Source organism: Homo sapiens, chromosome 4 (genome assembly GCF_000001405.40).
Source record: "Homo sapiens chromosome 4, GRCh38.p14 Primary Assembly".
Taxonomy (NCBI): Eukaryota; Metazoa; Chordata; class Mammalia; order Primates; family Hominidae; genus Homo; species Homo sapiens.
In genome coordinates this window covers 183,578,222-183,589,973 of record NC_000004.12, presented here as the reverse complement: position 1 = coordinate 183,589,973, position 11,752 = coordinate 183,578,222, and the positions used below count along the sequence as shown (strand labels likewise).

At 39.9% G+C, this 11,752-nt stretch overlaps 1 non-coding gene across 1 annotated transcript; it reads left to right on the top strand.

The window, feature by feature from the left end:
* The first annotated feature begins 7,672 nt into the window (after positions 1-7,672).
* Positions 7,673-7,779, top strand: LOC124900911 (small nucleolar RNA U13). Its single transcript, XR_007058553.1, has one exon. It is a non-coding gene; the product is annotated as a small nucleolar RNA U13 (small nucleolar RNA).
* The last annotated feature ends 3,973 nt before the right edge of the window (positions 7,780-11,752 follow it).

Sequence of the window (11,752 nt, the reverse complement as noted above, 5' to 3'; positions counted from 1 at the left end):
CCTTTAAAGGCAGTGAGTCATCACTTCTGGAAGGACTCCTTTTAGACCCTTCATCTCTCTGCAGCCTGAGACTCCTTGCAAATACCTCCTCACCGTGGTTGGAGCTGGGCAGTCATTGCAAAGCCTGGAATCTAGAGAGTGGATTGTGTTTTTGATGATCTGGAAGTTCCTGGCTATTTTAGACATCCCTTGTTGAAACATCACAGGATAAATATTGCACCGACATAGCTAAAGCATCACTGACAGGCTTTTAAGAACATGCTGTGTTAGAACCAGGAGTCTGTTGGAAGTGTGATATATGCGAATGTCAGAGAAAAGTCTCTACTAATCCAGAAAACCCTGAATAAAACACTGCACAATCTATAATTCATGTTCTGTATCATAATTCATACCCAGACTTTCAGGCAAATTATACTTTAGCAAGGGTTTAAACATTATTGCAGCGCATATGTAACAGACAGCCAAGATATTTCATGATTATATATGAGCCACTATTTTTTCTTGTAGAACATTTTTGTGTTGTCTGTCAGCTGATGAATGGATAAGCAAATTGTGATATATGCATTCAATGGAATATTATTTGTCAATGAAAAGAAATGAAGTACTGACACAGGCTACAGTATAGAGGAACCTTGAAAACATCATGATAGGTGAAATAAGCCAGTCACAAAAAACTACATATTGTGTGATCCACTTCTATGAAATGTCCAGAACAGGTAAATCTATACAGATAGAAAATGATTGCTGGTTCACAATCTGGTGAATATATGAAAAAAAAATCGAACTGTACACTTTATTTTTACTTATTTATTTTCATTTAATTTTTTTAGAGACAAGGTATTGCTCTGTAACCCAGGCTGGAGTGCAGTGGCGTGATCATAGCTCACTGCAGCTTCAACCTCCTGGGCTCAAGCCATCCTCCCACCTCAGCCTCCTGAGTAGCTGGGACTACAGGCATGTGCCACCCACCTGATTAATTTTTGATTTTATTTTATGTTATGTATTTATTTATTTATTTTATATAGACAGAGTCTTGCTATGTTCCCCAGGCTGGTCCCAAACTCCTGGCCTTAAGCAGTCTTCCCACCTTGGCCTCCCAATGGGTGGGGCTTATAGGCCTGAGGCACCTCGCTCAGTCGAATTGTACGCTTTCAATAAGTGATTGTATGATGTGTGAATTACATCTCAATACAACTATTAACAATTTGAGGGTTTTAAAGTATTAAAGGATTACTACAAATTATAATTTAACTCTAAAAATGGAAAAGTCTCAGTTCAGAACTAGGTCATTTAGATCAATAACTGTAGGTTAAGGCCACATAGTACTGAACGTGACTAGTAAAAGGGCAGAGTTATAAATAGTCTGGTTCGCATGTTTCTCTAGCTCTGTAACATGATTACCATTCATCTTGGACACCTTGTCAAATTCTGAAGTGAAATCTCAAGAAAGCTGTTACAACACTAAGGAGGCGAGACTGCAGTGGGACGTGCTCCCAGAAACGAAAGCTTATAAATTAAGCTGAGAGTTGGTGAATCTGCAAGATTTATGGCTCATGTAAAAATATGCTAACACTGTAAATTGATACGCCACCAAATTGTACTCTGTCTTCTTACACAACACTGTTGAAGCTGTCAGGCACAGTCTTTTGCGAGAATTAATTGCCACGTGTTAAATTGAAATGGAGTCTCCCGTGACTTGACGGAGCTCTTTCAGAGCCAGTACAAAATGTTCTTTGACCAGCTTGCAGGAGACACAGGACAGGCTCTCCAAACAAACAGCGATTTGAAAAATTAATTCATGGAGTCCATAATAAGGCCTTAGGGATTTGGAGGCATTAAATTTAACTTCATTTAATCCTTTAGAACAAGTACAAAGGAACTATATGCCTTTACTTATCAAAGCACAACCTGGCTTTAAAATCTTTTGAGCAGGATCTTAAAAGGTCACAGACTGAGAATATTGCCTCAGGAAGGTCTTTCTCTATCATTCTGTTTGTTTGTTTTTTGTGTGTCTCTGTTGGAAGCTGCAGCGGTTGAAATTGTTTCTTGAAATACCTGGAGGTCCAACCATCTTTCAGGAACCTCCATTTTCTGGGCAAATTTTGCCTCATGGTTACAGGTCAATAGAGCATGAGCTCTCTATGTGATAAACCATCAAGATTGGTTAAAGGGCCGGGCACAGTGGTTCATGCCTGTAATCCCAGCACTTTGGGAGGCTGAGGCGGGCGGATCACTTGAGTCCAGGAGTTCAAGACCAGCCTGGCCAACATGGTAAAACTCTGTCTCTACTAAAAATACGAAAATTAGCCAGGTGTGGTGGTGCACACCTGTAGTCTCAGCTACTCAGGGGGCTAAGGCAGGAGAATTGCTTGAACCCAGGAGGTGGAGGTTGCAGTGAGCCGAGATGGCACCATTGCACTCCAGCCTGGGCAACAGAGTGAAACTCTGTCAAAACAAACAAACAAAAAACAAACTTGGTTGAAAGCCATCCTCCTCTGTTGTTGTTGTTGCTCTTGGCTGATTTGGGTGTCTTCTATCCTCTCTCTAGAGCAGTGGTCGCCAACTTTTTTGGCACCAGGCACTGGTTTCGTGGAAGACAATTTCTCCATGAATGGGGTTGGGGGTTGGGGGGATGGTTTCGGGATGATTCAAGTACATTACATTTATTGTGTACTTTATTTCTATTATAATACATAATGAAATAATTATACACTCACCATAATGTAGAATCAGTGGGAATCCTGAGCTTGTTTTCCTGCAACTAGACGGTCCCATGTGGGGGTGATGGGAGACGGTGACAGATCATCAGGCATTAGATTCTCATTAAAGAGCACACAACCCAGATCCCTCACATGCGCAGTTCACAAAAGGTTCTCGCTTCCTTGAGAATCTAATGCTGCTGCTGATCTGAGGAGGTGGAACTCAGGCGGTCATGCGAGTGATGGGAGCAGCTGTAAATACAGAGGAAGCTTCGGTGTGGCCCGGCGGTTGGGGACCCCTGCTCTAGAGTGGCTTTGAATCTTATGGTCCTGGCCTCCCTGGATGACAGGCAAGAGTCACATGTCTACCAGCTCTGCCTGAATCAGAAAGGGCCTCCGTAGAAATTTCTGCCTATTTATTTTTCCCTCTGAACCTTCTGGAATTTTCAATAATGACCTCAGGAATACTTTTACTAATGCAATCCTTCTGCATTTTGAATTCACGACATAGTATTTGATATTCTGCGTTTCAAACTCTCACTGTCCGTAGTTTAAAACACTTGTGGTCATATGCTATCAGTCACTAGTTCTTTAGTAGACAGTCTGCTTTCTTCATATATTATCTCTGACTAGGAATTCCAGAGAGATGCTTTTCACAGTTTCATGTTCCTTCCACTCTGAAGGATTCTATCTTAAGGAGTGTTTTCCTGTCCGATTTATACCGGAGCCACCAATTCTAACAACATTAGCTTTCCTTCTGTCTGCCTGTCTCTTTATGTCCACAGGCCCAACAGCTCTCATTCTCATCCGTCTCTGTTTTAAAACTGTCATAAAATTAAAATGATAGCTCACTGTTCTCTATAGGCTTTAGGATATTTTATATTCCCTATTCTTAATTCAGGAAATGGGTTTATGCAACACCATTTATTCCAAATCTTTATTCATTAAACAAATGAATTAACAAATTAGATTCATTCTAATCTAACTTTATCTTTCTAGTGGATTTATTCATACCAGTTACATTGGTAGAGTTGTCTTTCATTGTTACTTAATAAATGGGTAGTCTTGTTAATTTAAATTAAAATTTTAAAAATGGAGAAAGAGGATGAAAAAGCCAATAAGGAGATAAAGACCAGATGACTGCGAAATCAATTCTAACTTTGTAAATCTCTAATCTTGAGATGCTACATGGCAGATGAGTGAAACATTTCAGGTCTTTAAGGCGATATTTATTCAAAAGGCTGCTTTTTATTTTATAACAGCTTTATTAAGATGTATTTTACATACCATACAATGCATACATTTAAACTGTATAATTTAGTGGATTTAATATATGCACAGATTTGGCCAGGCTCAGTGGCTCACGCCTGTAATCCCAGCACTTTGGGAGGCCGAGGCAGGCGGATCACGAGGTCAGGAGATCGAGATCACGGTGAAACCACGTCTCTACTAAAAATACAAAAAAATTAGCTGGGCATGGTGGCGGGCACCTGTAGTCCCAGCTACTTGGGAGGCTGAGGCAGGACAATGGCGTGAACCCGGAAGGCAGAGCTTGCAGTGAGCCAAGTTCGCGCCACTGCACTCCAGCCTGGGCGACAGAGCGAGACTCCGTCTCAAAAAAATATATATATATATATATGTGTGTGTGTGTGTGTGTGTGTGTATTAACAAATTACATTCATTCTAATCTAACTTTATCTTTTTAGTGGATTTATTCATGCCAGTTACCTTGGTAGAGTTGTACGACCATCCTGAAATCATCTGAGAACATTTTAGAACGTTTTCTCATCCCCAAAGAAACTCCATACCCACTGGCAGTCATTCCCATCTCCCTCCTTCCTTGCCTCTCACGCTCTAGGAAACACAATCTACTTTGTGTCACTGAATTTGATTTTATTATTATTATTGTTATTATTTTTTGAGATGGAGTCTCTCTCTGTCCCCCAGGCTGGAGTGCAGTGGCATAATCTCGGCTCACTGCAACCTCCGCCTGCCGGATTCAAGCAATTCTCCTGCCCCAGCCTCCCAAGTAGCTGGGACTACAGGCGTGTGCCACCACTCCTGGCTAATTTTTTGTACTTTTAGTAGAGATGGGGTTTCACCATGTTGGCCAGGCTGGTCTTGAACTCCTGACCTCGTGATCCGCTTGCCTCAGCCTCCCAAAGTGCTGGGATTACAGGCGTGAGCCACCGTGCCCGGCCCTGGATTTGATTACTCTGGACATTTCCTATAAATGAAATTATACAATATGTAGTCCTTTGTGACTGGCTGCTTTCACTGAGCATCATGTTTTCAAGGTTTATCCACGTTGTAGCATGAATCAACACTGCATTTCTTTTTATTGCTGAATAACATTCCATTGTATGGATAGACCACATTTTATTTACCCATTCTTCAGTTCCTGGACATTTGGGCTGTTAAAGCTTTTTAGCTATTGTGGTTAACGCTGCTATGAACATTTGTGTGCAGGTTTTGTGTGAACATAGGCTTGAAGTTCTCTTAAGTATAGAACTAAGCATGGAATTGCTTGGTCACATGGAGACTCTGTATCTCCCTTTAAGGAACTGCCAGACTGTTTTCCGTGGTGCTTGCACCATTTTATGTCCCCACCCACAGCCTGTGAAGGTTTCACTTTTTCCACCCTCACCAACACTTGTTACTATTATCTCTTTTTCATCATAGCTATCCTCGTGGGTGTTAAGTGGTACTTCATTGTGGCTATTTATTTTTAATGTGGTATTGAGTGATAGTGAACCTTTTTTTTTTTTTTTTTTTTGAGATGGAATCTCGCTCTGTCGCCAGGCTGGACTGCAGTGGCGTGATGTCATCTCACTGCAAGCTCCGCCTCCCGGGTTCGCGCCATTCTCCTTCCTCAGCCTCCCGAGTAGCTGGGACTACAGGCACCCGCCACCACGCCCGGCTAATTTTTTGTATTTTTAGTAGAGACGGGGTTTCACCGTGTTAGTCAGGATGGTCTCCATCTCTTGACCTCGTGATCCACCCACCTCGGCCTCCCAAAGTGCTGGGGTTACAGGCGTGAGCCACCACATCTGGCTGGTAGTGGACCTTTATGGATTTAAAAAAAAAAAAAAAAAAAAAGGCCGGGCGCGGTGGCTCACGCCTGTAATCCCAGCACTTTGGGAGGCCGAGGCGGGTGGATCACGAGGTCAGGAGATCGAGACCATCCTGGCTAACACAGTGAAACACTGTCTCTACTAAAAATACAAAAAATTAGCCGGGCATGGTGGCGGGCGCCTGTAGTCCCAGCTACTCGGGAGGCTGAGGCAGGAGAATGGTGTGAACCCGGGAGGCGGAGCTTGCAGTGAGCTGAGATCACGCCACTGCATTCCAGGAGACTCCATCTCAAAAAAAAAAAAAAAAAAAAAAGACGTTGCCAGTTATAGTTACCTTTATCATCTGATAGATTGATGTTCATCATGCTAATTCCATTGTCTTTTAGAGCAGCGTTTCCCAATCTTTTTTCTTTCCTAAGCTATGTCCTCTTGGAAAAATATTAAAAGTGCATGCTACCCGGAGATTCTCATATACTTCCTAGATTGAGGATTATCTTAACCTGTTATCTGAAACTTTTTTATTTCACAGATCAGTAAAATAAAATGGCCAACTTTATATTTGGCCATTTACGAACTACATTAACATGACTTCATCAAAGAAAGGACATTTAACCCTCAAAAAAATAGAGTAACTATTTCATGCCAAAGAGTCTTTTTCAAGGCTATTTTATCAGACCCTCCCCCCCAACTGTCTTTAATTTCTAGTATGAAAATTCTAGTTTCTCATGTGGCTTCCCACAAAACCTCTGGTGAGGACTTACAATGGAATAATGTTACGGATACCGTAGCAGGCCACTGGCCCTCTCTGACAAGTGCACAGCCCAACAGGCAGGCAAATGGGTGAATGACCAGAGAAGCCATGGAGACAGGGATGCTGCCTAAGCGTGAGCCAAGAGTGTTCCCATAGCCACCTCTTAAGCAGATGTGTGCCTAAAAATACTGGCCCTGCCTATCTTCATAATCTGAGTATAACATTTTTCTTTGGCCAGGCGCAGTGGCTCAAGCCTGTAATACTAGCACTTTGGGAGGCCGAGACGGGCAGATCACCTGAGGTCAGGAGTTCGAGACCAGCCTGATCAACATGGAGAAACCCTGTCTCTACTAAAAATACAAAAATTAGCCGGCTGTGGTGGCGTGCACCTGTAATCCCAGCTACTTGGGAAGCTGAGGCAGGAGAATAGTTTGAACCCGGGAGGCAGAAGTTGTGGTGAGCCGAGATTGCCCTATTGCACTCCAGCCTGGGCAATAAGAGCAAAACTCCATCTCAAAAAAATAAATGAATAAATAGAATAAATAAAAATAAAAATAAAATAAAGTTTTTCTTCCCTGATGCAAGCCAAAAACATGAGATGAGATGTTGTAGGAGTTCCCAGTGGAGGCATCAGTGGGGCACATCCAGCACATACTGATCAATCTCGGCCTTTCTAAAAATGGGACAATGCGCCATAATGTACCACATGATGTGATGCCACAAAATTGCGCAGCATTCATATGGAGGGTTCTTGCCTGTAAAATTCAGCCTGAGCCTACCACTTAGACCTCTAGGCCCAACTATCAATTTCCAGGGGATACAAGGGTTTGCAGCACAAGTCAAATGATACCACAAGGAAACAATCAGCCAATGTGGATTGTGGGATCTGCAGACAAACGACCCATTTTCTTTAACATGCTATAGCATATTGAAAAGAGACTTATAGAATAAAAGAGACTTAGAGATATAGCAGCCAATTTGTGATTCTCATTGTATCCTGAGTCAAACAAATCATCTGTAAAAAGGCATTTTTAAGATGAAGTAGAGCAATTCACATACGATCTGAATGTTAGATTATATTCAGGAATGGTTATTAGTTTTCTTAAGTGATAAATAGCAAAGGGATGATGTTTTTTAAAGTCTTTACCATTCTTTTTTGGTTCATAAGTGTGATGATTTCGTTTTCATGTTAAAGTGTGAGATCAGCCTCCCTCAAACCTTGTTACTACATCAACACCACATTATCCATCCAATGTGAAAAAAAAATCTTTACTAATTATCACTTAGACATGCACACTGAAATATTTACGAGACACATGTTGTCGGAGATTTCTTTCAAAATATTCAAGAAGGCTCAGCATGGTCGCTCACACCTACAATCCCAGCACTTTGGGAGGCTGTGGTGGGAGGATCAGTTGAGCCCAGGAGTTTGAGACCAGCCCTGACAACATAGCAAGACCTCATTCTACAAAAAATTTAAGAATTAGCTGGGCATGGTGATGTGTGCCTGTAGTCCCAGCTACTTGAGAGGCTGAGGTGGGAGAATTGCCTGAGCCCGGGACGTTGAGGCTGCAGTGAGCCGTGATCATGCTATTGCACTCCAGCCTGGGCAACAGGGAAAAAAAAAAAAAAAGAAAGAAAAAAATGCTCAAGAAAAAAGAGTTATATTGGGGAAATGGATGAAAATTAATTGGCAGAAAAATTAACATAAACAGACCCAGAAATGAGACAATAGAATAAGTGGAGGAGGACTTTAAGATAGTAACTATACCTATATCCTGAAAGTTTAAGATGGTAGACAAAAGTATGCCCATGTTAAAAAGAGACATGAGAAATATTTTTAGAGACCCAATTAAAACTTTTAGAAATAAAACTAAATGTCCAAAATAAAAAATATATCGGATAAAATTAATAACAGATTAGAAAGTGCTGAAGATTAGTAAATGTGAATATATAGCAGTACAAACTGTCCAAACTAAAACACACAGAGAGAAAAAAAGACTGAAAAAAAGAATAAAATATAAGTGAACTATGGGACAACTTCAGTTAGTCTAATATATGTGTAATTGTGTAACGGGAGTCTGGTGGGAAGAGGAAGCAGAGGATCATAAAAAATATTTGAAGAAAGAATAGCCAAAACATTTCCAAATTTAATGCAAACTATTAATCCACAGGTTTAAGAAATTTAACAAATCCCAACACAAGACATGTAAAGAAGACTATGATAAAAACATATCAAAATCAAGTTGTTAAATCTACTACTAAAAAGGAAAAAAAAAAAAAAGCAACCAGGAAGAAGATACAGGTATGGAGGAATAAAGATAAGAATGAGAGCAAACTTCTTGTTAGAAATAATATAAACCAGAAGATAGTGGCAAAGCAACCTTATAGTGCTAAAAGACAAAACAAAACAAAAAACACTGTCAACTTAGATTTTTATATCCAGTAACAATGTCTTCAAAAGCAAAATCAAAATAAAGACTTTTTCAGACATACAAAACCAAAAGAATTAATCACCAGTAGACCTACACTATAAGAAATGTTAAGAGAAGTCCCTTAGGCCAAAGTATAATGCCAGGTAGAAATCTGGTTTTATACAAAGGAATAAAGAACACCAGAAATGGTCATTGTGTAGGGGGTTGGGAGGGAGCAGGGGAGGTTAATATAAAAGACTCTTTTTTCGTATTTAAAAAAATCTCTTTGAAACATAATTTTATAAAGCAAAAATAACCACAATGCATTGTGGGCCTTATAAATAGAAGTAAAATTTTTGACAAGAGCACAAAGGCCAATCCAGGATTTGAATTTATTGTTGCAAGTATATGTGAAACAGCATGACATTTCTTGATGGTAGATTATGATAAGTTAAAGTGCTTATCAGGGGTTGGCAAACATTTTCTGTAAAGGGTCAGATAGTAAGTATTTCCATCTTTGCAGGCCTTATGGTCTCTGTCACAACTACTCAATTCTACTGTTTTCGTGTTCTATTTTATTGTTATTTTTACTTTTTTTTTTTTTTTTTTGAGACAGGGCTTCACTCTGTTATTCAGGCTGTAGTGCAGTGGCGAATTCACAGCTGCTGCAGCCTTAAACTCCTGAGCTCAGGCTGTCCTCCCATCTCAGCCTCCCAAGTAGCCGAGGCTACAGGTGCATGCCACTACACCCAGCTAATTTTTTTTTTTTTTTTGGTAGAGATGGGGTCTCCCTGTGTGGCCCAGGCTGGTCTTGAACTCCTTCTGTGATCCTCCCACCTCAGCCTCCCAAAGTGCTGGGATTACAGACGTGAGCTGCTGCACCCACCCTCAATACTGTTGTTGTTCTGCAAAAGCAGCCACAGGCAATAAATACACTAATGAGCGTGGGTGTATTTCAATAAAACTTTATTTACAATAACAGGTGGCAAGCAGATTTGGCTTAGGGGCTATAGTTTGCCATCCCCTGATATATACTATAAACCCTAAATCAGTCATTAAAAAAAGAGAGGTATAGCTAACAAACCAACAAACAGATAAATGAAATTGTAGAAAATATTCAACAAATCCATAAGAAGGCAAAATGGGGAATGCAATACATAGAAAACAAACAGTAAAATGGTAGGTTAAACGTAACCATATTAATAATCACATTAAAAGTAAATGGACTACCAGTCATTAAATGACATAAATCAGAATTGAACAGAAGAAAGACCCAAGTATAGGCTCCTTACAATAAATGCACTTTAAATATGAAAATAATAAAAGGTTATAAAAGATGGAAAAGGATACGCCATGATAAAAGTAATCAAAAGAAAGCTGAAGTACTACATAAATATCGAAGTTGATTTCATACCATGGAATGTTATCAGAGATAAACAGAGTCATTTCACATTGATAAAGGGCTCAAGTCATCAAAAAAATATAGTAATCTTAAATGTTTTTGCACATAATAACAGAGCTTTAAAATGCATAAAGGAAAACTGGTAGAATTGAAAGGAGAAATAGATAATTCCACAATTATACTGAAATATTTCAATTTTGTTTTTGTTTTTTTGAGACAGTTTTATTTTTTATTGTTTTATTTTTTAATTTTTTTGCTTTTGTTGCCCAGGCTGGAGTGAAATGACCCAATCTCAGCTCACTGCAACCTCCGCCTGCCGGGTTCAAGCGATTTTCCTGCCTCAGCCTCCCTAGTAGCTGGGACTACCAGCGCCTGCCACCATGCCCGGCTAATTTATGTATTTTTAGTAGAGACGGGTTTCACCATGTTGGCCAGGCTGACCTCAGGTGATCTGTGCACCTTAGCCTCCCAAAGTGCTGGGATTACAAGTGTGAGCCACCGCGCCCGGCCTATACTGAAATATTTCAACACTCTCTCTTAGTTATTGATAGAATAAACAGACATAAAATAAGTAAGCTTATACAAGATTTCAACAAAATGATCAACCAACTTGACGTAATTGAAATTCCACCCAACAACAGCAAAGTATACATTGTTTTTCAGTGCACAGACAAAACATTCAAGACTAGCTCTGAAACTTTAACAGGATGGTAGGTAAATAGTTCTATCACAGCCACTTATCTTTTTATCATTTGAGGACACTATCTCTCTATCACATGCCTTCATGACAGACAGAACAAGAGGAAATAAAAATGACAGAGTACAGGTAACAGAGAGCACAGTCAAGGAATGCATCAAACCTCCAGGCAAAACTGATCTGCCACAACCAGGAACAGGGCCTAATTAAAATGCAAATGACAAGTACTAAATCTTTATTGGGAAATCACAGAGGGAGAAATTAGAAATAGAAATAAAGCTACCTTATTTGGTAGACTGTAATTTAAATACACAGGGTTCATTAGGAGAAAAAATGACTTGGGGGAAAAATAAACACACAGTCCAAACACGAAATTTCCCTCTACAATCACACATCAGCTAATGGTGGGGGTACATTCTGAGAAACGTGTCATTAGGTGATTTTGTTGTTGTGAAAACATCAAAGAGCGTACTTAACTCTAAATGGTATAGCCCACTGTATACCTAGGCTGTATGGTATAGACTATTGGCTGCAAATCTGTACAGCAGGTTACTATACTGAATATTGTAGGCAATTGTAACACAATGGTAAGTATTTGTGTATCTAAACATAGAAAAGGCACATTAAAAGTACAGCATAAAATATTTAAAATGGTACACATATATGGGGCACTTACTATGAATAAAGCTTGCAGAACTGGAAGTTGCACTGGGTA